The 27,961-nt window shown below is 41.9% G+C and overlaps 1 protein-coding gene across 9 annotated transcripts, besides 1 other annotated feature; it reads left to right on the top strand.

Annotated features, from left to right (window-relative positions):
- Positions 1,948-2,397: an enhancer, noted in NCBI's record as "active region_28679". NCBI's record gives its function as "activates an Ori minimal core promoter by ATAC-STARR-seq in GM12878 lymphoblastoid cells {active_cell/tissue: GM12878}" and the evidence as "EXISTENCE:reporter gene assay evidence [ECO:0000049][PMID:35858748]".
- On the top strand, positions 2,000-27,645 carry TRMO (tRNA methyltransferase O). 9 transcript variants are annotated; one of them, NM_001371657.1, is made up of 6 exons: positions 2,000-2,082; positions 8,162-8,336; positions 10,942-11,099; positions 13,884-14,540; positions 19,508-19,790; positions 26,251-27,645. In NM_001371657.1, the coding sequence occupies exons 1-5, from the start codon at positions 2,007-2,009 to the stop codon at positions 19,765-19,767; spliced, it is 1,326 nt and encodes a 441-aa protein (NP_001358586.1). In that variant the 5' UTR covers positions 2,000-2,006; the 3' UTR covers positions 19,768-19,790; positions 26,251-27,645. The 9 variants fall into 9 exon arrangements, with proteins under 9 accessions (NP_001358586.1, NP_001317654.1, XP_011517078.1 ...); NM_001330725.2 differs by lacking the exon at positions 26,251-27,645 and adding an exon at positions 11,525-11,627 and having other exon boundaries at positions 19,508-20,011; XM_011518776.4 differs by lacking the exon at positions 19,508-19,790.
- Positions 27,646-27,961: the final 316 nt, after the last annotated feature.

Below are 27,961 nucleotides of genomic sequence, written 5' to 3'. Positions count from 1 at the left end.
TAGGTGACAGAATTAAAGTTTTGCAAGAATCCTTCTAGCTTGACTTTGTGCTGCCCTCCTCTCATGTTAGGTTAGAAACCCATGAACCATATGATATTATAGCCAAAATGATGTGTGGGACGGTTCAAAGCTTTAGTTGATTCTCAAAGGGGTCCTTCACCCAAATGAGAGGTTAAGAATCACTCTACTGAGAAGTGTTTCTCAAAGTAGTACAAGCTGAAGACTACATAATTATTTAGGTCATTTCTTTAAGGCAGATTTCTAGGTCTTACATCTGGAGGAGAGGTTAAGTCTTATAAACTGCAAATAATCACATATAATTCCAGACAAGATAATAAGAACTTCAAATCATAGACTAAAAAATGTGCTGCATATTTAAGTTCCCGTTTTCAGTCAAGAGAAATTTTACCTATAAAAGAAGTAGCAATCTATTTCCCTAGTATATTCAAATCAGCTTTGCATTTCAGTACTTGTCACACTTGGTAATTACATATTTTTTTGTGTGATTAACAACGTCTACCATGCCCTCCAGGAGGGCAAATATCTCTTTAAATCTAGTCTTTCCACAGATAAAGCGGGACTATCATTTTTAGCAACACCACCATCTAGTGGCAAGCGCAGTAATTCTGGCCCAGTTTTATAAACACACACATACACACACACGCGCGCGCGCTATATATATATAAAACAATGATTTTCAAACTTGTTTCTCCAGCTGCACAGAGCTGTCCCTCCTAAAAAAAATGGCAGCCTTTTCCAAGTTGTCCTGTAAAAATGACCTGCCAAAAGACACTATATGAATTTGATCAGTTTTATCTTATTTTTTAAACCACAATCTTTAATTATTTGGCTCCTCCTGCTGGTTATTTTCTACCAGAAATCAATGACAAATGGACAGACATGGAAACATCTTTTCATGGTTGTTAGACTTTTCAATCTGTGACTCATATGCTTTTGAATATTTTATACTGCAGATGTTAACAGATAAAAAGATAAAAGATTTTAAAATTTCTCCCAGAAAGAGAATTATATACAGAGAAACTTACTAAAGGTGAGAGACAGCATTACAAGTGGGTAAAAGATAGGCTATCATTGCAAGGACAACTGGTCATTGCATGGGATTAAATGATTCTTGTTAGCTCTTAGCTTCTCAGAGCTGTCCAGAAACGACAATAATCCCCACAATGCACATGGCATGTTGACTCTTATAATTCCATTCTCACTTCAGTTCCGGTAAGGTGTGGAGCACAAGAAACAGTTCCCACTCCTTAACCCCTAGCACATAGTAGGGCTCCTTTATAACATCCACCACACTTGAAATAAGACTTATTTGGGGTTGTTTCTGACAAAGCATAACTTATATTATGGAAAAATTTCCCACCACCCAGGGATAATTTTTTTTTTTTTTTTTTTTTTTTTTTTTTTTTTTTTTTTGATACGAGGTCTCGCTCTGTCACCCAGGCTGGAGTGCAGTGGCGCGATCACGGTTCACTGCAGCCTCAAACTCCTGGGCTCAAGCGATCCTCCCGCCTCAATCTCCTGGGTAGCTGGGACCACAGGTGCCTGAGAATTCTTAACATTTCTTAACGTCCAGTCCTTCCGCTCTGTGTTAATTACATATACACATCCCTTAAAAATTAGGGTCATACTGGACGTATAGGTTACTTAATAATGTTTCGAGAGAGACATAGTTGCGAGTTCTTCATGGAGGTGTGTTCCCTCTCAAAAAGCGCGGGAAGCCGGAGTCGCATTCTACCCTAGGAGGGCGGGCAACTGTAGCAGCTGTGTGTAAGATAAACGAGATTGGGGTCCCGGAGGGGCACACGCCCGGGATAGGGTTCGAAGCCCCATGGAGAACTCAAAGCTTCCCTCAACGCCACCCTGCGCGCGCACATTCTCCTGGGTTCGCGGGACCTCGCCGGCGAGGCCACTGCGCATGCGTCAGGCATGGAGAGCGGAAGCGGAAGGTTGAATGCGTCGGGTGGGCACCTCAGCAACCAGTAGCCATGCGCGGCTTGGAGGAGTCGGGGCCTCGGCCTACAGCGACCCCGTGCGGCTGCGTTAAGCCGGCTCTGGAGACAGGTAACTTCCAACACCGGCGGTGCCACACTCTGGAGAGGTTTAGGCCCAGGCAGCGGACTTCGTTGCCGAGAGGGGTGTAAAACGCACGATCTGGAACTGACGTGCGTCATTCTTTTACCTACGGCGAAGGCACGGGTCACGTGCTGCGGAGACCACGTGATGTGCTTTGGCGAGCGGGATGACGTCATCTGGCTTGTTCCGCTTTGTTATAAGACTTGTACTGTCTGCGTAGTCTTGGCTCAGTAGCTGGAGCAGCTACGTGCAGCGTAGGGGCTTTTCTCTTAGGGGTTTCCTTGCCATAGCGTATGGGAGATGGTGTTAGGCGGGTTAGGAATTAATAAATGCCATAGAGAGGCATCCTGCGCTGTAGGAATGAGGACAGAGAAGGGGGAAAGTTTCTGGGGGAGAAAATAGTTTTAAATTGGGCCTAGAAAGACAAGGCATGAATTTGTTTCTCTTTACTCACACGTTTTCATAGAGGAATATATTAGCTTTAGAAACTGGAAAGCAAATGGAAGAAAATTAAAATAACCTGCCAGAGAAAGCCATTGTCAATATCTTGGTGTCTACCTTCCACGCTTGTTTCTTTGCATACACACTTGGAAAGTGAGGTACTATACGACCTGTTTAGTAACGTTAAAATAATTTAAAAAAAAATCTTAACAGGGCAGTTAATGTTAATTATAACACTTTGGGCCGGGCGCAGCGGCTCATGCCTGTAATCCCAGCACTTTGGGAGGCCGAGGTGGGCGGATCACGAGGTCAGGAGATCGAGACCATCCTGGCTAACACGGTGAAACCTCGTCTCTACTAAAAAATACAAAAAAATCAGCCGGGCGTGGTGGTGGGCTCCTGTAGTCCCAGCTACTCGGGAGGCTGAGGCAGGAGAATGGCATGAACCCGGGAGGCGGGCTTGCAGTGAGCCGAGATCGCGCCACTGCACTCCGGCCTGGGCGACAGAGCGAGACTCCGTCTCAAAAAAAAAAAAAAAAAATTAACACTTTGTTTTGTTATTATTAATTTTTGTAGAGGCAAGCTCTCACCGTGTTGCCCAGGCTGGTCTCAAACTCCTGGGCTTAAGCAATCCACCTGCCTTAGCCTCCCAAAGTTTTGGGATTACAGGCATGAGCCACTGCAACCAGCCTAACGCTTTGTTTTAGATATGTGCTCTAATTTAACCAGCTTCCTGTTACTGAGCATTTAAGTTATTGCCAGTTTGCATTGTTCTAAAAGAAAGCTCTTGAAGCCGAAATGTTTGTGTACATTCTAAAGTTTGAACTTTGTTAAATTTCTTGGAAGTGCTATTACCTGGCCAAATGTGCTTATTTAAAAAAAATTGTTGCACACTGCCGATTACAGGTCTCATATTTTGACAGGAAGGAAAACGCAGAAGCCAGGGCTCAGAAGTCTACACAGTATAGGTTTGGGGAGCTAGAAGTCTAAAGTGTTGGATGGAACAGGGAGGTGGGAACCTTTGGATTCTGATTGTGAAGAAACTTGAGTACCAGGCTAAGAAATACAAAGTCTGTTAACAGTGGAGAATATGAAAAGTTTAAAGTTAAAGAGTTAGCATAACACAAGAAACTCTAGGAGTGTTGAGGATTCGTCTAGAGTATTTTGAGAAGGGGAAGAACTTGCAGTGGGGACAGAAAGCCTAAGAAGGGTAATTTAATAGTACAGGTGGAAATGAAAAGGACCTGAACTTATTTTCAGAGCAAGACGTGTAGACAATCCTGTACACAAAAAACCCCACATTGATTGCTTGCTGGCTTTTTACTTATTACACAGTTAATACAGTTGTAATGTTTAAATGAGGAAAAAGCCTGAGCAGGGACTTTAAAAAGCACTCCTTGCTGGGCACCTTCTATTTTATTGGATGCTTTCCTATTTTATTAGTACTTTTACAGCTTTCCAAAGTAGGTAGTATCCCTTGTTTTATAGATGAGAAAACGGATTCAGAGAGAGAAGCTAGTTTTTCCCATGGTCACACAGCTAGTGTAGTGGCCCTGTGTTGTTTTTATCCTTTCTCCATTCTGAAACCAGTCCTAATTCTCTCATGCTCCTTTGAGGAACCACTTCTCCCCATTTCCATGAGGTTCTTGTGCTGGTTTTTGTCATACCTGTGCTTATTTATCTCTATCCCTGCAAAGGCACCTAGCTAGAATTGTTGATTTACTTGTCTTTCTCTGTCAATGTACTGGAAACCCTTGAGGACGAGAACTGGTTCATATTTGTACCCCAAGTCCTTAGCACAGTGCTTACCAAAATGGTAGGTGTTTACTGTTCTTTTGGGTTTTTGTTGTTGTCGTTTTGAGATAGGCAAGAAGAAGAAGACCAGAATTCCCCTTGGCAAACGGTGTCAGGTCTCTGCTTCAAATAGCATTTATATTTCATAGCATTATCCCCAGGAGGGCACAGAGAATGTATAAATATGTCCCAGAAGAGTTCAGACGTACTAGGATATGGATATTTGGTATTTTGAGAGTGGTCCCAAACATTTTAGAGTAGCAGAGTTAGAAGAACTCTTTCAAAGTAGCTCTTGAGTATACTTCCAGTTCATTGCTAATCCAGTGTTGTCTTGCTTATGTTCTTAAGGAGATGCACAAAGAGGATAGAAGTAAATCTAATTAGAGGATAGAAGTAAATCTAATTGGCAGCCACTTATATTTATCATATCATATGTGTAATCTGTGAAAAACAGGCATAGACTGATTTAGTGAAGTGATAAATCAGCTATAATATAAATTCCTAGGCCCCAAATCAAAGAGTCAAGGGCAGAAGTCTTTGATTACTTTACTGCTGACAGGACATTTCCCATGATATTGAAGCATGGTGTGATAGTCTCCTCAACTATTAAATTCCACTGTAGTAAGAGTTCTTGGTTTGTATCTTTTCTCCAAACTTAACACAATGTCTGGCAATTGTAGACACTTGGAAAATAGTGTTTCTCTCTTTCTTTTCTTTTCTTTCCTTTCTTTCCCTTTCCTCCCTTTCCTTTCTTTTCTTTCCTTTTTCTTTTCTCTTTTCTTTTCTTTTCTTTCTTTCTTTTTTTTTTCTTCTCTTTGTGGAGCAGAGCTAACTCATGGGCAGTGTGCCCAGAGTATCAGCCAGAAAATGTTTCTTGAACAAATGAAAAGAAGACACAGGGATTTTGTGGCTGGGCTAGGGGTCTTTTTTGGCCATTTATCTTCCAGACATAAAGAAGATATGCCAGGTCGTTTGGCCTCAGTTTCTTCATTTTTAAGATGTCTACTATATCTGTTCCATAGAAGCATGGATGAGGATTAAAAAGAAAAAACAAAAAACTAAAAACAATGCCTGTAAACATACTTGAACAAAAATTAAAGTTGTCAAAAACATACAGAGTATGTATGGATCTTAGCCTCATAATATTGAGAGAGAAAAAGCAAGTCTGAGAAGACAACTTACAGTTTGGTGCCAGTTTTTATAGATCTTAAAGACAAAAATCAATGAAATACTGTTTAGGCATGCATGTACATGTAACAAAATCATTCTCTAAAAGGAAGTGAATGATAAAGATCAAATTCAGGCTTCTGTTTATCTCAGAGGGAAAAGAAGGGTGTGAGGTAAGAGAAAAACAACCTAAAAAGAACAAGTCGTTAGTAACGCTCTAGTTTTTGGGATGGGTGGTGTATACACGGGGTTTCATCATATTATGCCGTATAACTTACATGTATGTTGCATATGATATTTATATATATCAAATAAAGTAGCTTCTAGAAGTGAAGAGTAATGAAAGATACTGTGAGGGACAGCCCCAGACCTATAGTCTTACTGCTTATGCTGGTAGGGTAGATTTAAGGAAGCAGGAAATAAAGTCTGAAGTGTCTTTATATCATCTCTCAGAAATTGATAACGCTGTCATGAAATGTGAGAATAATAAAAAAGTTATCAATAAATTCAAAGTGGTAGCCATGGAAACCTTGGACTTTATATTGATAGTGTCTGGCCATTTTTTTTCTTTTGAAATATGTTATTACTTAAAAAAATTGTGATTTTTTTTTTTTTTTGAGATGGAGTCTCGCTCACCTAGGTTGGAGTGCAGTGGCGTGATCTTGGCTCACTGCAACCTCTGCCTCCCAGGGTCAAGTGCTTCTCCTGACTCAGTTTCCTGAGTAGCTGGGACTCCAGGCATGCACCACCATGCCTGGCTAATTATTTTTTTTTTTTGTACTTCTAGTAGAGATGGGGTTTCACCATGTTGGCCAGGCTGGTCTCGAACTCCTGACCTCAGGTGATCTGCCCACCTCAGCCTCCCAAAGTGTTGGGATTACAGGCGTGAGCCACCGCGCCTGGCCTAATTTGTGATTATTGAAAAAACTTCAAATATTATAGAAATTACGAAGTTAAATTTAAAGGTAATTAAAAAATCTCACCACCCAGATTAACCACTGTTAAAAAAATTGGTGAATATTGGCCAGGTGTGGTGGCTCACACCTGTAATACTAGCACTTTGAGAGGCCGAGATGGGCAGATTGCTGGAGGTCAGGAGTTTAAGACCAGCCTGGCCAACATGGTAAAACCCCTTCTCTACAAAAAAAAAAAAAAAAATTAGATGGGCATGTTGGTGCGTGCCTATAATCCCAGCTACTTGGGAGACTGAGGCACGAGAGTCGCTTGAGCCTGGGAGGTGGAGATTGCAGTGAGCCGAGATTGTGCCACTGCACTCCAGTCTGGGCAACAGAGCAAGACTCTGTCTCAAAAAAACAAACACAAACAAAAAATAAAACACAGCATGTGGTGCATATCCTTCCAGATAGCTTTCCAAACATACCTGTATGTGTTTAAGAAGGTAAATATGTAACAAATTTCCATAAGTGGGATTATATTATATATATTATTATTTTACTTTTTCAATTTCCACATTAATCAGTTTAGACATATATGATCTTTTCTTCTATGCAACATGAATTTTTTGAGTACCTACTCCGTTGCAGGCAATGTACTAGACAATGAGAATGCAGCGATAAATGAGACAGAAAAACTGCCCACATGGAGCTTACATTCTAGAGGGGCAGTAGGCTACTGGACCAAGCCTAACTTGAAATTTACCTTGCCTCTAGATATTTTAGCACTATGAGCTTATAAGCTCTCTTTATTGCTTAAATTAGTTTATTTCATATGTTCTGTTGCTTTCAATTGAAGATATCCTTACTTATGTATACCCAGTGTTTCCTCATCTTTCATTATTCTCTGCCTCTTATTTCATACTCCAGCCAATCAAAATAGCTTGTTCCCTGCATATGCTATGACATTTCTCATTTACTTTTGTGTACACTCTCTCCTCTATTAGAAATACCCTCATAGGCCAAGCACTATGGCTCACGCCTATAATCCCAGCACTTTGGGAGGTTGAGGTGGGTGGATCAAGAGTTCAAGACCAGCCTGACCAATATGGTGAAACCCCGTCTCTACTAAAAATCCCAGCACTTTGGGAGGTCAAGGTGGGCGGGTCAGGAGTTCAAGACCAACCTGACCAATATGGTGAAACCCCATCTCTACTAAAAATACAAAAAAAAAAAAAAAAGTTGAGCGTGGTGGTGGGCGCCTGTAATCCCAGCTACTGGGGAGGCTGAGGCAGGAGAAATGCTTGAACCCGGGAAGCAGAAGTTGCAGTGAGCCGAGATCGGGCCACTGCACTCCAGCCTGGGCAACACAGCGAGACTCCATCTCAAAAAAAAAAAAAAAAAAGAAAGAAATACGCTCATAGCCCTGGCCAGAGTCACATGACTTAGTATTGGTAGCATAGAATTTTAATTATGGTCATAGTAGGTATTCTGAAAATGCCCCCTTACTTTCATTCTTTCTTTCTTGGACCATTATTCTTTCTAGTATATCTAAAGGGATATTACTATGTATGTAATGATGTATGTGTATGTGTGTGTATGTAATGATGAGAATACTTATACGTATTCATGAATACTATAAAAATCATTTTTATAGTTGCACGACACTAAGATTTTAAAACTATGAAACCAATGCATTAGAGAAAACATGTTTTCTTACAACTTGGTTTGACCTTTTGACTAATAACTTTTTACCTAATTTTCTCCTGTAGGGAATCTTTTAACTGAGCCAGTCGGCTACTTGGAATCTTGTTTCTCGGCCAAGAATGGTACTCCAAGACAGCCATCCATTTGTAGCTATTCTCGAGCCTGTTTGAGGATTAGAAAGAGGATCTTTAATAATCCTGAACATTCCTTGATGGGCCTAGAACAGTTTTCTCATGTTTGGTAAGTTGCTTTATAGTTAGATGTAGGATTTTGGGCCAGAACTTGCCCCCGAATAAAGTACTCTAGTTGAAGGCAACCTTGGAGTCTGCCATCCAGACCACCCTCATCTTTGTTTTGTTTTGTTTTTGAGTCAGGGTCTCTGTCACCCAGGTTGGAGTACAGTGGTGCAATAGCAGCGCACTGTAACCTCTGCCTCCCGAGCTCAAGGTATCCTTCCACCTCAGCCTCCTGAGTAGCTGGGACCGCAGGTGTATGCCACCATGCCTGGCTAATTCTTTTTTGTATTTTTGGTAGAGATGGGGTTTCACCATGTTGCCCAGGCTGGAACTCTCATCTTTTGCATGGCTTTTTTATTTTTTTTTATTTTTTAAGACAAGTGCAGTAGTGAGAAGAGGGGAAAAGTAGAACAAAAAGTTCAATCTGTAACTGACTGTGAACAATCAATTGAGATAACTCATTACCTTTGAACCAGCCTGTTGTATGGAATTTTGTACTGTATTTGTGCATATGATTATCTGTGTCATTTAGAGATCCTCAGGGAAGCTTGGGATCCACTGAGGTGACATGTTCCATTTGCAGTTGGTTCTAATGGTGATGAATGCCTTCTGTTGAGTGGAAATTATAGACCTCCTTGACTCTGCCCCTGGGTCATTATTCTACCCTCTAGACCAGGGGTCAGTAAACTATGGCCCATTTTTGTAAATTATTTTTATGGGAACAAAGTCATATCCATTTGTTTAAGTATTGTTTGTGGCTGCTTTCGTGCTATAGCAGCAGAGTTGAATAGTCTCTATAGTGACTGGTTGGCCTGCATGTCCTAAAATATTACTCTCTGACCTTTTACAGAAAAAGTTTGCAGATCCTGCTCTAGACTCATGTAGAATTAAGTATACTCCTAAAAGACAAGACACTGTAGAAATCTGGATACTTTAAGTGTTACCTATATTAGGGCCTGTGTTATACTAGCATTGTTTGTTGTCATTTCAAATTCTGTCCGTGTTCATTCTTCCTCACCCCAGCATCAGCAGTCTGAATCGGTCTATTTTTATTGGTAGAGACCTAAAAATTAAGTGTATATTCTGAAATAGTTTATTTTTCATGTCAATTTGGGGACAAGAGTAGATTAGAAAGAAAATGTATGTTCTGACCTAGTTTGTATTATGATCCTGATTGAATTATTTAAGTTAAAAACATTGATGATGGAAAAAATGGGTTCAGAAGTATATAAAGAGATTTTTCCTTATCCCTCCTATTTTCCTCCCCTCTCTCCCTAACCCCAACCACTCATCAGAGCTTATTACTGTTAACAGCATGGTGTAGATCCTGCCAGACCTTTTAATTTTTTCTTTTTCAAGTACACATAGAAACAAATATATACATACAGAGTGGGTATTTGCTTTTTTTAAAAAAGTATGTTTTCTTCACATAACAGTATATACCATGGAGAACTTTCACGACAGTAGATTTACCTTTTTTTTCTTTAATAGCTGTCTATTATTACAAAATATAGATGTATATTTTGTAATATACACACTCTTGTTAATGGAGGGCTATGTTGTTGTTATAATAACTGTGACAAACCCCCTTAGACACATTCTTGGCCACTTATGTATTTTTATGAACAGGATATCAGAAGTGGATATATTGGGTTAGAAGGTAAGCATATTTAGAATTTTGGGGAACTACTTCCAAATTATCCTCTAAAATTAACCAATGTATACTTCAATAATATATGCAAATGACCTTTTTCTTACACCCTTCCCAACACAATATGTTATCAGTTTTTTACATTTTTGCCTGATGGGGAAAAAGAGTATTTTGGATTTTTAGTTTAATTTCTAAATTTAGAAATTTCTAATTATTAGTGAAGCTCAACATCTTTTCATATGGTTCTTAGCTACTTGCCATTTTTTTGTGAATTACTTATTCATGTTCTTTGCATAGTGTCCTATATTGGGTTGTCCTTAGTAATTTGTAGGAACAATTTGTGTGCCACAGATATTAACCTATGGTCCATTATGTATGTAGCAAACGTTTTCTCTTAGGCTGACATTTTGTAGTACATAAATGTAATGATTTCATGAGTTCAAATCTGTTAGTTTTTCTTCTTGGCTTCTTGGTTTTGTATCTTTTTTAGGAAGGTCTAGTCATGCCAAATGGAAAAAGAAAGGAAGGTCTGGTAAAGGTATTTAACATTTCTGAACTTCAATTTCCTCATCCCAAAAATGGGGGATAAATTATATTACTTAAGACAGTTAAGGCGATTGTATGAAATGAGTGTAAAAATGTTTTACCGTACTACCTGGCAAACAGCAGACACTTAGTAAATATTGTTTGTTGGGCACTTGATAAACGTCTCTCAAGTTCCTACTGTGTGCCAGTTGTTGTGTTAGCTGCAAAGGATGTGGAGATGAGATTCTGTCTCTTCCTTTAAGGAAAGGGGATGGTGTTATTTTCTTCCTACCAGATGACAAGTTAATACTATTTAAAACATGATTTCTGTTAATTTGTGGGAGATTGCATTTTTTTCCCCATCAGATCATTGTGGTAAAATAACTTGTGCTCTTTTCTTATTCCGTGGTTTGTTTTGTTTTGTTTTCTATAGGATTTTGTTTGTTTTTCACAAAAATGGTCATTTGAGCTGTAAGGCAAAAGTGCAGCCTCCTAGGCTGAATGGTGCAAAGACTGGAGTTTTTTCCACAAGGAGCCCTCATCGTCCCAATGCAATAGGACTGACCCTGGCCAAGCTGGAAAAGGTAGAAGGTAACCCATTTCATTTCTACTTTTACCTTTTTCCTCACCCAAAAAAGCCTTATAAAATAAACAGCATTCACCACTGGCTGTTTATTCAGACGAGTACCAATGATGTTAACTCCTGAGAACCACCAGACATTGAAGAAAATACAATGATTAAAAGAATGTTAGCATTGAAAAATGTTGAAATAAACTCATAGGATGCTCAGAGCTTGTTTATATTATTGCATATATCCAAAACTATTAAATTATTTAGAAATAACACAAATTTCACAATCATTAAATTAGTAACCAAAGTTTCTCTGACTTGGAATGCAGTAAATACAAAATGATTAAAAATAAATGGACACTTTCCAATTTAACACACAATAACTCATTGTACATGCACATATGGAAAACACATAGACTGGTGGTATATCATTCCTTCCTTGCAGCCTTGGGGAAATGGACAGATATCATGGCTGCAGTGCTGATGTCAACTGTGCTGTGTGGCAGGAGTCTGGGATGAATCACACTACAAGGACAAACATTGGTCAGGTTGTAGAAGTTTTAAACTAGTTTTAACTGTGTGTTCGTATATAACCTAGTTACGCATTTATGGAAAGCATTCCATTCTGACCTAACAGATGCATTTGTTATAGAGGCAGCAGATGAAATGGCAGGTAAACTAGGAGTCAAGAGACCATTCCAGGCTTCAGCCTGCTGGTTGTGAAGTGGGCAAAGGAGAAGGACCTGCTTCCTCTGTGATTCCACAGAATATTTTGAGAATCTTGTAAGAGAGAAGTTCTAAAACTACTTTTTCAGGCTATTGGACACTAAATAGATGAGAGCAGTTATTTTGCTTGTTCTTTCCCAGAACTTGAACTCTCCCACTGGATTGTACTCAACTGGGCCTTAGGTAGTTTTCTCAGAAAAATTCAGTAGCTGATCCACCTTGAATTTTATCAATTTGTAATGGCTAACAAACTTGGATAGCAAGTACTAGAAGATTTTATGATTATTCAGGGACATATTTTCTAGCACTGAATATGTGCCAGACATTGTCCTAGGTGCTAGAGCTATAGTGATAAACAAATCAGATGAAAGTAGAAATCCATGCCCTAAAGAACTTAATGTTTCAATTGGGAAGGTCAAGTCAGATAGGTTAAAAGGCAAACACAGTAGCACTGTAGACATTACTATATAAGCTTTATGGCAACTAGTGTTTGTGCAGTGCTTTACAGTTAGTAAACAGTGTTCACGTACCTTATCTCACAGTGGCTTTGTGGGTTTGACAAAGTAGCAATCCTCATCTCATAGGTGAGGAAACTAGGGCTCTTTAAGATTAGATAATCTGTCTAATAGCATCCAGCCAGGTGGTCATCTGACTCTAAATCCTTTGAAGTCTTACTTATGCTACAGTGCCTTTCTTTTTCCTACAGATATTGTTAGGCATAATTCATCATCTAGCAAGTCCAGAATCATCTTTCCAGAGTTCCAGCTCATTCATAATAACATGTTTCAGAAATCAGGGTCCTGTATTAGTTACGTTTTTCTTAAATGGAGACGGAATCAAATGTGACTGCATGTAGTTTTTCTGTTCTCATTTGGCCTATTTTCCAAGAGTAAGGTTAGTAGATGGCTATTTGTAGCAGTAACTGGACAGCATCTGTCCAGTGGGACAGCTGGAGACTTGTCTTTAGTATTTGGTAATGCTGACTTATGTGCTGCTTAATCTTTTGAGTCTTGATGGATGTATTAGATTTCTATTGTTGTGTAACAAATTACCACAGAATCATCAGTTTAAACAACACACATGTATTATGTGTTTGAAACATTATTATGTATCTGTGGGTCAGAAGGATGGGCACAGCTTAACTAGGTCATCTGCTTAGGTCTCACTAGACTGCAATTAAATTGTCAGCTGATATGAGTTCTTATCTGGAGGCTTGACCATGGAAGAATCTGCTTAAGCTCACTCAGACTGTTGGCCACATTGATTTCCTTGCCATCGTAGTAGGACTGGGGGCCCCAGATTCTTGCTGGTTGTTGGCTGGAGGCTGCCCTCAGTGTCTAAAGGCTGTTTGCAGTTCCTTGCTATGTGGGCTTCCTAGCACGCCTGCCTACTTCAGCAAGCCTTCAAGGAGAGTCTCTCGAGTGAGTCTTCCAGCCAGCAGCAGTGCTAATGAAAAGCATAGTCACTGGAGGGACATCATACCTCTTTTGCCATATTCTGTTGGTTAGAAGCCAGTCACACTCAAGGGGAAGGATTATATAAGGGCATGAACTTCAGGAGGTGCGGGTCACAGGGCCACTTTTGGATCTGTTTGCCACAGTAAGAACCTTCATTGGTCCCACAGAGATATACTGAGGACTACTATATCCCTGGAACAGAAGCACCAGTGATACAAAGATGAGTTGGTCCCAGCCTGTGTTAAGGGGCCTGCCTGCGTCTAGGGATGAAGACTCTAAGCAGGTCACTACCCTACCGTGGGGAAAGCGCTCTAGCAGAGGTTTGTGCACAGGCTTCTCTATGGGGACTGTAGGAAAGAATGCTTTTGTCTGGAGGAGCCAGAAAGGCTTTGTAAAAGGTGTGCTTTTGAGGGCCTCAAAGAGCAAGTAGGAGTTTGATAGGTAGAGAAGAGGATGGGCTACCAGGTAGCAAGAAGGGTGTGTGTTGGTACTAGGTCTGTGTGAGAGAATTATGAGTAAGTGCAGTGAGGCGTAAGCAGACAGTGTTAGAGGATTCTGGGGCGTGACTGTATTCTCCAAGTGTTTGCACTGTTCTTCATTTTTCACGTTTTTATGTCATAGGTGGAGCTATATACCTTTCTGGAATTGACATGATACATGGCACACCCGTACTAGACATCAAGCCCTACATAGCTGAGTATGACTCACCGCAAAATGTGATGGAGCCTTTAGCAGACTTTAATTTACAGAATAACCAACATACACCAAACACTGTGTCCCAGTCTGACAGCAAGACTGACAGCTGTGACCAGCGACAGCTCTCAGGGTGTGATGAGCCACAACCCCACCATAGCACTAAGAGGAAACCTAAATGTCCTGAAGACAGAACTTCAGAAGAAAACTACCTGACACACAGTGACACAGCCAGAATTCAGCAAGCATTTCCTATGCACAGGGAGATAGCAGTGGATTTTGGTTTGGAATCAAGACGTGATCAGAGTTCCAGCGTGGCAGAAGAACAAATTGGCCCATATTGCCCAGAGAAGAGCTTTTCAGAGAAAGGTACAGACAAGAAGCTAGAAAGAGTGGAAGGAGCAGCAGTCTTGCAAGGAAGCAGGGCAGAGACACAGCCCATGGCCCCTCACTGCCCTGCTGGAAGGGCTGATGGAGCTCCCCGCAGCGTGGTTCCTGCCTGGGTGACAGAGGCTCCTGTGGCCACTTTAGAAGTGCGGTTTACTCCTCATGCCGAGATGGACCTTGGGCAGCTCAGTTCACAAGGTATCTTCAGTTTCTTCATTCTGAATGAGAGATGAACTTTTACTTTGAGATTTAGCCAAGTTTGGTATTTGTGAAGGCAGGTATGTGGAGTGTTTGTCAGTATGACTGGTTTTTAGGAAACAGGTATAAAATAATATTTTTGCAGTACCATCATGTGATGACTTTTGTTGGACAACTGTGTGGTCAGCACAGTTAGTTCCAGGCTGTCAGTAAAGCATTGGCAGAGAGTGGCTGCTGCCTCACAAGGTGGCCTATGACTTACAGCCCCTTGTCTACTTGCTACAGTAGTTCTTAGAGTCTTCAAATATCATTCAGAAGCTAAATTGTGCTTGTTCTATACTTATGTACATAAAGTTTTCTTATTTGTTTTACTGTCTGACTTGAGAAATGTTGCATTGTATTCTGACTGTCAGGTAGTCGATAGCTCAGCCTCTGGCACAGAGGACTCTAGGAGCCCAGAGTCACAGGGGAAGAGTCTCTTAGCACAGAACTTGCCCCAACAAAGTCCCACTGCTAGAGGCATACACTTTGCTGCAGAAGAGAGGCCACAGGGCTCTTACATGGAGCCTGCTTACTTTAACACATGGTTCTTAACAAATGTTATCTGGTTTCCCCAGCCCACAGCAGATCCCAAGCAGTAGCCTAGGATGAAGGAAGGGGCTGTTAAGATGTGGATACAGCGATACCAGTAAGAAGTAACTAATTTCAGGCTGGGCACGGTGGCTCACTCCTGTAATCCCAGCACTTTGGGAGGCTGAGGTGGGTGGATCACTTGAGGTCCGGAGTTCAAGACCAGCCTGGCCAACATGATGAAACCCTATCTCTATTAAAAATCCAAAAAGCCAGTTTTGGTGGCAGGTGCCTGTAATTTCAGCTACTCAGGAGGCTGAGGCAGGAGAATTGCTTGAACCTAGGAGGCAGAGGTTACAGTGAGCCGAGATGTTGCCACTGTACTCCAGCCTGGGTGACAGAGTGAGACTCCATCAAAAAGAAGAAGCTGGTTGCCAAGGAGATGTCAGATTGCAAAAAGCTGTTCTTTGTGTTACAACTCAGTAAGGAGCCAGCATAACCATATAAAGAGGGAAGTTCATTTATTCATTCTACAGTTGTTTACTGAGCTTCTGCTAGGTACCAGACATTGGTCTAGGTTCTTGGAATACATCAGTGAACAAAACAGATATAAAAAACCCCTGCTGTCATGGAGCTTGCATTCTAATGGGGAGGAGAGAGACAAATTAAAAGTATAATAAGCAATCAAGTTATTAGACCAAACATATTCAACATTATATAATATTAGAAGGTGATAAGAGTTACTGAAAAATTTAAGAATACAGCAGGCTTGGAGTGTTGTTACTATTTTATTTTATTTTTGAGACAGGGTCTCACTCTGTCACCCAGACTGGAGTGCAGTGGCAAGAACATGGCTTACTGCAGCCTCAGCCTTCCGGGCTCAAGCAGTCCTCCCACCTCAGCCTTCTGTGTAGCTGGGACTACAGGTGTGCACCACAACACCTGGCTAATATTTTGATTTTTTTTTTTTTTTTTTTTGAGACGGAGTCTCGCTCTGTCGCCCAGGCTGGAGTGCAATGGCTCGATCTCGGCTCACTGCAAGCTCCGCCTCCCGGGTTCACACCATTCACCTGCCTCCGCCTCCCGAGTAGCTGGGACTACAGGCGCCCGCCACCACACCCAGCTAATTTTTTGTATTTTTAGTAGAGACTGAGTTTCACCGTGTTAGGCAGGATGGTCTCGATCTCCTGACCTTGTGATTCCCCCGCCTTGGCCTCCCAAAGTGTCCAGATTACAGGTGTGAGCCACCGTGCCCAACCTATTTTGAATTTTTAAAGAGACGGGGTCTCATTTTGTTGCCCAGACTTGTCTTGAACTCTTGGGGGTCAGGGGATCCTCTGTCTCAGCCTCCCAAAGTGCAGGGATTACAGGTGTGAGCCACTGCACCTAGCCTGTTGCAATTTTAAATAGGTGGCCCCAGTGGGCCTCACTGAGAAAGACACATATGAGCAAAGGTCAAAGAGGTGAAGACATGAGCCAGCCTGTCCAGAGAAAGGACATGCTGGCCTGAGGGACAGCCAGTGCACAGCCGCAAAGTGGAGGGTGCATGGCACGTTTGAGGTCATGTGGTCAGAGTGGACTGAGGAGGGCTGAGCGGAAGGATATGAGGTCAAAGAGGCACTAGAAAAGGGACGAGGTCACCTAAGGGTTTTATAGGCCATTGTAAGGACTTGAGTTTTGATCTTGGGAGAAGTAAAAGGCAGAGGAACTTGATGTCCGTATCCCCAGAGAGCAGGGGACCATCTCTGGGGTCAGATCACTACCTGTGTGATTTCTGGGATGTCACACCTCAGTGACATGCAAAGGCAAGCTGGAGTTCCTTATTGAGACAATGAAGACTTTCATTCTATATCCAGAAAATAAAGGCTTACACAACCAAAGATACTAGATTTTCCCCTGCTTTACTAGCAGGGAGAGAATGAAGAGGCTAGGGGGGTATTTGGCTTTGATAATCCAACCTGAAGGAGGTTTTTCTGATGGGAAAAAGAAGTCTAAAAGTTGGGACTGGAGATACATGCCAACTGACTCTGAGATTTCCCCATTTCTTCCTGTCAGAGCCACAGCCAGCCCACACTGTTGCCTTTTGCAAAGGAAAAGCCACCCCTTCCTCTGGGTGGAGGCAGCCACCTGCCAGGGCCCAGGAACTGGTTTTAGCCCCAACATGCAAACTTCAGCCAAGTGCCGTATGCAGGGCACCCCCTGCACTTCTGGACACGGCAGTCTCGTGGTCATGAGTGGTGATGCCACTTGAGGGTTGTGCTTCTCTTTGGCTCCTAAGGCTTTACTTTTAAACAAAGCTTTTGATTTTAAAATTGATCTTTTTATTTTTAAAAGTTTTGTTGATAGAAATCATTACATCACTGTATACAGTTGATGGGAGGAGGCTGGTCAGTTGTAAAAGGATTTTATGGTGGAACAAAACAGTCCTGCCTTCTAGACACTTTATGCTTACCACTTGTCCTGTGGTTATTGTCTAATGCAAACTACTATGGAAAGTTTTGTTTTTCTTTCTTTTCTTTTTTCTTTCTTTCTTTTTTTTTTTTTTTTTGAGACGGAGTCTTACTCTGTCACCCAGGCTGGAGTGTAGTGACGCGATCTCGGCTCACCGCAACCGCCTCCTCCCGGGTTCAAGCGATTCTCCTCCCTCAGCCTCCTGAGTAGCTGGGATTACAGGCGTGAGCCACCACACCCAGCCTGGAAAGTTTTGTTTTTTAAACTGCAGTGCAGTATGTGTCAGATGTTTGAAATATGCCTTACTGATTAAAAAAATGATTAAAATGAGAAATTACGCAGTGTAACTACAAAACAGGAACTGATTGATAGCAAACAGCAAAATTCAGAGCTGTTGCAGAAATAAGAAGTGACTTCAGGAAGTTCTGAGTCTAGAAGAGGTTAAAGGTGTTGAAATGGGAGGAAGTTTGGTGCTGGAGTAAAGGTCTGGGCAGAGTGCTGTGGGCACTCTGAGAGGAGAATCCTGACTTGTGTCTGGGAGGGAGTGTGGAAGGAAACAGTGCTTGAGCTGAGCCTGGCAGGATGAGTAGGCAGGGAATTGGGGGAAGGCACCCATGCCAGATAAACGGCCAAGCAGAGGCCTGGAGCCTCTCCCAGAAACGCCGTCACAGGGGAGTGTGATGAGCTCTCCTCATTTTTGAGTGGCCTTCAGAGCCATTTTCTATGAGCCATGCAGTAAAGGAACCTTATTGCCATATAATTGATTTTTTTTTTTTTTTTTGAGATACAGTCTCTTTCTGTCACCCAGGCTGGAGTGCAGTGGTGCAATCTTGGCTCACTGCAACCTCCACCTCCCGGGTTCAAGTGATCCTCCTGCCTCCTGAGTAGCTAGAATTACAGGCGTGCGCCACCATACCTGGCTAATTTTTTTGTGTGTGTGTATTTTTAGTAGAGATGGCGTTTCACCATGTTGGTCAGGCTGGTCTCAAATTTCTGACCTTGTGAGCCTCCTGCCTTGGCCTCCCAAAGTGCTGGGATTACAGGTGTGAGCCACCGTGCCCAGCCCATATAATTGATTTTTGACTAAAAATTGTACTTCATGGCTTTATTTACCCAACCTGCTTATTAGATATGGCCCACAGTGATTTTTGGCTGCTTGTAGAAATCAAATCCACTCCAAGAGGGATAAAGATCCACTGCCACCACAGATGATATTTTGAGCAGGGACAGTGTTTTTAAGATCTGTACCTTCCTGGAAGGGGCATTTGGATGTATGTGATGTTGTAGTTATGAAAAACTAGGTCACAGTTACTTTCTAAATTTATGTTTTATACATACCATATTAAAAATAAAATACATTAAAAATCCTACAAACATAGGAAGTTTTGCTGTTTCTTAGGGACACAGATGTGAGAGAGTCCCAAAGCAAAGGGATGTTACTGGTAACTGCGGGTCTGTGATACTAGCTTTCTGGTGCAGCCTCTCTCGCCTGTAGCTGGTGTTCTGGGTGTGTGTGGGTTTAGTTCTCTTTCTTGTGGCTTTCTGAGGATGCTGGGACTGTCATGCATTTCCTTGTCTCTGTTCTGAGAAGAAAATGACAAGGAATTAAAGTCTACATTGAGTATAGAAAAGTGACATTTTGGATATCAGAAAAGTGACATCTTGGCTGACAGAAAATGAAAGCTCACCTGTCTTAGGAGACTAAGGAAAAATACTACCATGATTTTTCTGTCCAGTAAAACAAAAATTTGGGGGTGTACAAGTTAAACCTAATGATAATAAACACCTCTTGACGGTGACAGTCTCCGTAATGATCAAATAGTTTTCCAAACCCTGTCCATGTCAAGTGATCTTTAAGGAACCAACCAGATTCCATATTGAAGTTTGTTGTAATTAAATTCAACCTGCATGATAGTGCTCATTAAGTTGTGTTTTTTTCATTGCAGATGTTGGTCAGGCGTCATTTAAATATTTTCAGTCAGCAGAGGAAGCAAAGCGTGCCATTGAGGCTGTGCTGTCAGCGGATCCTCGGTCTGTGTACCGCCGGAAGCTTTGCCAGGACCGCCTTTTCTACTTTACTGTAGACATAGCGCATGTCACTTGCTGGTTTGGTGATGGCTTTGCAGAGGTGCTGAGGATCAAGCCGGCTTCTGAGCCTGTTCATATGACTGGCCCTGTGGGGTCCTTGGTGTCTCTAGGGTCTTAAGGAGCCTCCCTCATGTCTTTAAGGTAGCATCATTGATCTTTGGATGTGGCTTTTGGATTTTCTGAACAAGCTAATGTTGTGTCGAGAAGCAACACTTTGTGATCTCATGGCTTTGATTGATTTGGGCTGTTCAAAATGTTTATTTGAAAAACGTATACATTAATAAACTTAACAAAGAGATATAAAATACAGAGAAATCACCAAATGCTTTTTGATCTGTTGATATTAAAGAATCAAAAGGTGATGCTGTCTCGATAATTTCTGAAAGAAGCTGTTCTTGGTGCACTTGATAAAATTAGACAAAGTTCATTCCAGCAGAGACTTTCTAGTTGAGGGGATCTATTCAGTAATTCATATTGGTTTTCCTGTCTGTCTGGAAAAGCCTGACCTTTCTATTTGATTCCAAATCAAACCTATATCAGGAAACTAACAAATAAAAAACAAGTAGAGATAGTTTTTGAGATTAAACTTATGTGTTTCAGAGACTTTGTGACATAGTCACACACACATATATATATGTATATATATTTAATACTGATTCTAAAATAGAGACTCTCTGAGATTTCTTTGGATGTCTTTGTATCAGAAAAGGAAATCACCCTCAGAAGTTCAAGAAAATTGTTACTGTTTTTTTGTTTTTGTTTTTGTTTTGAGATGGAGTCTTGCTCTTTCGCCCAGGCTGGAGTGCAGTGGCGTGATCTCGGCTCACTGCAATCTCTGCCTCCCAGGTTCGAGCAATTCTCCTGCCTCAGCCTCCTGAGTAGCTGGGATTACAGGCGTGCGCCACCATGCCTGGCTAATTTTTGTATTTTTAGTAGAGACCATGTTGGTCAGGCTGGTCTCGAATTCCTGACCTCGTGATCCACCCACCTCAGCCTCCCAAAGTGCTGGGATTACGGGTGTGAGCCACCGTGCCTGGCCTATAATTACTGTTTTTTAATATACTCACTTTGCAACTATTTATTGAGAACCTATGGGTTAGGTTTTGGTGATAAAATAAGATGACAAGATGTAGTTCTTGTTGCAATCATGGTTAATGGAAGAAGTAAGACATAAATAAATTATTGTATTATAGTTTTAGAAATACAGTAATTATACATGGATCCTCTGTAGTACCACATAGGAAACAGTTGTAAGAATGTATTGCCTATAGGTGATTTTAATGATGTGCTCCCAGATAACTGAGGATTTATGATCAACATAACCAAATTAGACACCTGTCAACATGATACATGCTTTCCTAATCATGATTGTAAATCTTAATAGCTGATCGAAATGAGCTGATTGAAATAGTCTTGAATAGTTTTGAAATGAGTTCTGCTGCCTGTGGATACTTGTGCAGAGTCATTTGTGGCTGATGACACTGTACTCCTAAACCAAACTGATTTGTAATTGCCTTTGATGTTACTTAGAACTTCTTGGGGAGGTATCTTTAATTTGATTTTTGGTTTTTGATTTTTTTTTTAGAGATGAGTCTCATGCTTTTGCCCAGGCTGGAGTGCAGTAGCCTGATCATAGCTCACTGCAGCCTTAACCTCCCAGGCTCAAGGGATCCTCCCACCTCACCTTCCTGAGTAGCTGGGTCTACAGGCTCATGCCACCATGCCCCACTATTTTTAAATTTTTTTGTAGAGACAAGGGTCTCGCCTCATTGCCCAGGCTGGTCTTGAACTCCTGGTACCAAGCAACCCTCCCTCCTCAGCCTCCCAAAGTGCTGGGATTACAGGCATGAGCCACTGTGCCTGGGCTAATTTGATTTTTTAAAGCTTTTTATTTTGAAATAATCAGAGGTTCACAGGAAATTGCAGAAATAGTAGAGGTCCTGTGTACCCTTCACCCAGCTTTTCATTTAACTTCTTCCAGTGGTTGGTTCCATCTTACATAACTATAGTAAACGTTAAAGGTAGGAAGTTGACACTGGTAGAGCCTACACTTTAGTTTGATTTTGTTGTTTTTTCTTTTGAAAAGTTATTTTGAAGCTTCATCAGGGCTTGAAGCACAAAATGTTTTGTTTAATATGTTAACAATGACTCTGGGGGATGGTAACCAACGGCCTTATAACAAGAGGACTATTAAATTGTTTGGGGTTTTATTATACAGTCTCAGGATTTTAGAGCTAAGAAGGATTTTAGGCTGGGCGCAGTGGCTCATGCCTGTAATCCCAGCACTCTGGGAGGCGGAGGCGGGTGGATCATTTGACGTCAGGAGTTCGTGATCAGCCTGGCCAACATGGTGAAACCCTACCTCTACTTAAAATACAAAAATTAGCTGGGTGGTAATGGCGCATGCCTGTAATCCCAGCTACTCGGGAGGCTAAGGCAGGAGAATCGCTTGAACCTGGGAGGCAGAGGTTGCAGTGAGCCGAGATCGTGCCACTGCACTCCAGCCTGGGCGACAGAGTGAGACCCTGTCTCAAAAAAAACCCACAAAAATAATAAAAAGGATGTTAAATATAATCTGGCTCAGTTTTCTGCCAGTTCCTGAGTCTCTTCAATGTTCCCACTATCTGGCCTTTCCAGGCCCTGCCTAAATGAGGTATATACCCCTGACCTGTGCAGCTTATTCTTTATGGGCAGTGCTCATTATTAAAACATTCTTCCTGAACGTGAGATCCACTCTGTCCTCCGACAGCTCTGCCCACTAGAGAGGCCACACAGGCTGGTTGCCCTCCCAAGTTAGCCTGTCATACCACCCCTTGGTCTTCCCTAGGCTGAGCACCCCCGTTTTCTTCAGCTGTTTCTCATAACATGATCTCAAGCCTCTTCTGAACCCCAGGCTTTCTTGAGTCTCCATATGAGCATTTGCCTCTGTGGGCACAACTTCAAGTGTCCTTTGTGAGGAAATGTGCATCTCTGGTTGGTGAACTTCCATCCCTCAGAGAGAAATAGAAGCACAAATTTGAAACAAGCTGTCTGTCTGTCTGTTTCTTTATGTCTTGGAAACTTTATTTATCCATCCAAGCTTTTTTTTTTTTTAGCCTTTGAGAGCAGGCAACCATCCAAGCTCATTCCACGAACCCAGAGAATTAAATATACCTGATTTGTAGCACAAAATAAATAAATGATAAAAGTTCCCTCAAACCTTCCATCAAGTGGTTTTAAAACTGTCATTGATTTTATGTCCGGAATTGAAGTTGTTTTGGTGCGTGCATGTACACACACGCATGTACACACACACACAAATACACACTAATCCTAAAAATGAGATGGAAATGAGCTACAAGAAAACTCAAAAGTGCCATAATTATGACTGTCAAAAATAGTGTTACAGCTCTAGGGTCGTTTTGTGTCCTATTTGTATCAAAATCACATTTGGTCCTTTATTAAGTGGGAGGTGAGTACATCAAGAGGAAGAGGTTGCTTGATTCTTGGTCCTTTAGATTTTTAAGACTCTTTGGCCAGAGTTTTGGAAAAGGGATTGTGTCAACAAGCAAAGTTGTGGTTTCAGGACTGCCTTAGAAACTTTTTCAAGAGAAGAAACAATTCTCTACTAGGCGTAAATGGCACCCACCTTAATTTTTAGCCTTTGCTTTTTGGTGCCTGTAGGGGGAGCCCTTGATAGCAGATTTTATTCCCATTTCACTGGCTTGGAGGAAAACACCAGGAGTTCAAGCTGTTTAGGTAATTTTGGCGTTTGGCCCACCTGCCCCAGCTTTAAAGAACAGTAACTTGTACAAGCAATGCTGACTGATGATTGTCAGTCACATGTGAGAAGAGATTAGAAAGATGAGTGGCATTTATTAATTTTTTCTTAAATTGTAAGCTTGGCTTCAGGGGTGGGATTGATTATTCCAGCATGTGGATCTGTGCACAACCAGGTGACTCATTAAGCCCATGAGCACACACGGACAAGGCATTGACTTTGTTTCTGTGTTTGTGACTTTTTTTCTTGGAGAGAAGAAAATGAAGTTGACGTGAATCAACCTCTTGTTGGTAGGGTTTTTAAAATGCTACAGTCCCAGAGAAAGCAAGAGAAGACTCAATAAAAATGAAAGCCTGCATCACTTACTGAACTTTTATCATGTCCTTGGAACTGGACTATGTGCTTTTCGTACATTGGGTGGAGGTTGAGTAACGTGCTCAAGCTGCTCGGCTGCACAGCTAGGATTCCAACCCACCAGTCTGGCCTGAGTCCTCTTCCTTCTCAGCCTGGCTCTACGCCTTAGCAAATCATGCTGGTTTATTGGAAGGTCAGCAGTTCCATATGATTCAGCACATGAGTCTTTGGCAGAATGAAGTCCATGGAAATCCAACCACTCGTGAAGAATGCACAGGGGAATAAGGGCAGAAACGCCCATTCCCACAGGATCTGCATGGAACCTCCTGGGAAGCAAGATGGGAAATACGAAGAGCACTGGGCTTGGCCTCAGAAACTTCAAGCGCTTTCTGCCCTGCCATGGGCTAGCTCGTGACCTCAGGCAAGTCACTGCACCCTGCCTCTAGCTCTGTGACCTTACAGAGTTGTTGCCAGGATAATGCTTGGGAAAGTGTCTTCTGAACTCTTCAATGACCTATAAACCTAGGTAATATTTTTATTGTGTTTCTCTTCATTGATAGCCTTTTTCTACCACTCTGTTCTGGCTTACCTGGCTAGATAAGCAGACTTCAGGGGGATCTAGGGGGTCCCTAAAATTCAATGTATGAATGGCTTCTGTTTTTGTTGTTTTGTTTTGTTTTTTGAGGCAGTCTTGCTCTATTGCCCAGGCTGGAGTGTAGTGGTGCAATCACGGCTCACTGCAGCCTTGACCTCCCAGGCTCAAGTGATCCTCCTGCCTCAGCCTCCTGAGTAACTGTTTGCCACCATGCCCAGCTAATTATTTTTTCTTTCTTTCTTTTTTTTGGAGACAGAGTCTCTCTCTGTTACCCAGGCTGGCGTGCAGTGGCTCAGTCATAGCTCACTACAACTTCTGCCCCTGGGCTCAAACTATCTTTTCACCTCAGCCTCTTGAGTAGTGGGGCTACAGGCGCACGCCACCATGCCCAGCTAGTTTTTGTAGTTTTTGTATTTTTTGTAGAGACAGGGTTTTGCCATGTTGCCCAGGCTGGTACCGAACTCCTGGCCTCAAGTGGTCTGCCTGCCTCGGCCTCCTAAAGTGCTGGGATTACAGGCGTGAGCCACCGTGCCTGGCCTGTCTTTTTAATTATAGAAATATTTTTTTAGGCTGGGCTCAAGAGGCTGAGGTGGGAGGATCATTTGACCTTGGGAGATGGAGGTTGCAGTGAGCTGAGATTGTGCCACTGCACTCCAGCCTGGGTGACAGAGCCAGATTCTGTCTCAAAATAAATAAATAAATAAATAAATACGTACATAAAAATTAAAATGACTATTTTTACCAAGCAATATGATGTTTTGCTAAGGGAAGTATCACAAAGTGCTCCTCCCTAAAGGATTCAGTTACCCCACAAAACATCTTCCCCCTCTCATCTGGGTTTCTTTTCTGGGGTTACACGTGCAGTACCGTGAACCACCTTCACTGCCCGGGCAGGCAGTCACCAGCTCACGGGTTTTTTTTAGTACGCTTTCTCTTCTACTTTCTTTCCTAATCCTAGCCCTGGTATTGCAGGAAAATCTCTGCATTTCATTTATGAGAAAATAGGCCGGGTGCGGTGGCTCATGCCTGTAATCCCAGCACTTTGGGAGGCCGAGGCGGGCGGATCACGAGGTCGGGAGATCGAGACCATCCTGGCTAACGTGGTGAAACCCCGTCTCTACTAAAAATAAAAAAATTAGCCGGGTGTGGTGACAGGCGCCTGTAGTCCCAGCTACTTGGGAGGCTGAGGCAGGAGAATGGCGTGAACCTGGGAGGCGGAGCTTGCAGTGAGCCGAGATGGCACCACTGCACTCCAGCCTGGCTGACAGAGCGAGTCTCCATCTAAAAAAAAAAAAAAAAAAAAGTATATATATATATGAAAATGCAATTATAATCATGGTGTGAGGTTATTGAAGCAAGCCCTACCTCCGTGATGGAGAAGGGGCAAGTCATAAGTTTTAAAGCTCAATTAAATATATAATAGGGATGTTTATATTGTAAAAAATAAGTTTCCTGGTGGGGCACGGCAGCTCATGCTTGTAATCCTAGCACTTTGGGCTGCTGAGGGTGGCAGATCGTTTGAGGCCAGGAGTTTGGGAACAGTCTGGGTAACGTGAAAAGCCCGTCTCTAAAACAAAATTTTTTTTGGTATACAAGTATATATACAAATGTATATATATATGAACACAAAATTAAAAAACGGGGTGTAGTGGCTCATGCCTGTGGTCCCAGCTACTCAGTGGGGTGGGGGGCTGAGGTAGGAGGATCACCTGAGCCCAGGAAGTCAAGGCTACAGTGAGCCGAGATCATGGCACAGCACTTCAGCCTGGGCGACAAAGACCCTATCTCAGACAAAAACAAAAAATTGAGTTTCCTGATCTAGGTAAGTCATAAAATGACTCTCCAGCATTTACCCTATTCTTATCCTTTCTGCTCCTTCTCTGCCTTTGTAGGTTCCAGCAGATGCAATTCACAGAAGGTTCAAGGTTTAGGCCAGTGCACGTGGCTGTGAACAGCAAATGGAGGAAGAGCCTTTTCAATGCCCGCAGTGCAAAAACTCAGTGATATACTCTCTGTTTTTCAGTGGAGGGGGGCACTTGGCATATGAGCTTACACCACAAGAATCACATTTGTGTTAATGTGTGTTTATGTTGTGTTGACAAAAAGTGTAGGAAGCCAAGCGTGCTGGTGTGTGCCTATGGTCCCAGTTACTCAGGAGGCTGAGGCAGAAGGATTGCTTGAGCCCAGGAGTTCAAGGCTGCAAGGAGTTCAAAGCTATGATCATGCCACTGTCCTCCAGTCTGGGCAACAGAGCAAGACCCCACATCTAAAAAAAATTTAAAAAAAATTTTTTAAAGTAGGATTAGCAGTAATACAATGTTATCTTCTGCCTCGTAGATAGCTTGAAAATTCTGAGATTCTTTGCTAATATATCTAACTCTTCATCCAATTCAAGATATAAAAAACATTTTTAAATTCCATGTTAACTTTTGTTTTAAAAAGTTATCCACGTGCTAAACACTGAAAAACTACATAATTCTTCATATTAGTATAGACTTTACAATGCAATTTAAAATATATTATCTTATTTGGCATCTCAGTAATATTATGGATTAATTGTGCTTCTGGGAGCTAAGCTGTGGGCCTAACCACCACTTAGAAGAGGGGTCAGCAAATGATAGTCCAAAGGCCAAATCTGGCCCACAGCCTGTTTTGGCACTACCTGAGATCTAAGATTGGTCTTTACATTTTTAAAGGATTGTAAACAAAACAAAACAAAACAAAAAACCCAGAGAAGAAGACATGACAGAGATTGGTGGGTAAAGCTGAACATACTCACAATCTGGCCCTTTACAGAAAAACCCCTGATCCCACTCCTTGATTTAGAACATTATTTCTCTGAAACTCGTTGTGAGTTCCAGAAAGGTTATTTACAGAAAGGTTATATTGAGTTCCAGAAAGGTTATTACATACAGAAAGGTTACATTTTTGGGATATCACATGCTTCTAAGTCAGAGACTGTTTTTATTTTTAAAGGATTTATTTAGCCATGTGAGAAAATGTATGAATAGGATATAAATGGCAAGTATGTATTATAATATCCCATTCATATATGTAAAATGAGGAGGTTATACAACCCATGTTTGCACATCTGTGGAAAATTTCTAGAAGCATAAACAAAAATATGCTAACAGTGGTTACCTTGGGGTGGGTTCTCTGGGGACTCACTGCAGAAGGGGACTTTTTGCTTTATTCTCTTCAGTACCTTATGAATTTTCTGTCTAATCACAAGCATGCATTATTTTTATATGTGGAACATGAGGAAAGTAAAATGTCTAGAACTCAAACTGGAATGGATTGGATATGTTAGTGCATCTTAATAAATAAGTTAGGCCAGGCACAGTGGCTCACACCTGTAATCCCAGCACTTTGGGAGGCTGAGGCAGGTGGATCACTTGAGATCAGGAGTTTGAGACCAGCCCGGCCAACATGGTGAAACCCTATCTCTACTAAAAATACAAAAAATAGCCAAGCATGGTGGCACATGCCTATAATCCCAGCTACTCGGGTTGCTGAGGCAGGATAATTGCTTGAACCTGGGAAGCGGAGTTTGCAGCGAGCTGAGATCGCGCACTGCACTCCAGCCTGGGCGACAGAGCGAGA

Source organism: Homo sapiens, chromosome 9 (genome assembly GCF_000001405.40).
Source record: "Homo sapiens chromosome 9, GRCh38.p14 Primary Assembly".
NCBI classification, from domain to species: domain Eukaryota; kingdom Metazoa; phylum Chordata; class Mammalia; order Primates; family Hominidae; genus Homo; species Homo sapiens.
The sequence above is the reverse complement of the archived record's forward strand: the minus strand, read 5'-3'. Positions and strand labels throughout refer to the sequence as shown.

Bases quoted from the DNA above. Each gene is read 5' to 3' on its own strand.
- TRMO (NM_001371657.1), top strand. From the start codon at position 2,007: ATGCGCGGCTTGGAGGAGTCGGGGCCTCGGCCTACAGCGACCCCGTGC. The intron at 11,100-13,883 runs GTAACCCATTTC...TTTATGTCATAG, and splicing joins CAAGCTGGAAAAGGTAGAAG to GTGGAGCTATATACCTTTCT. The intron at 14,541-19,507 runs GTATCTTCAGTT...TTTTCATTGCAG, and splicing joins TGGGCAGCTCAGTTCACAAG to ATGTTGGTCAGGCGTCATTT.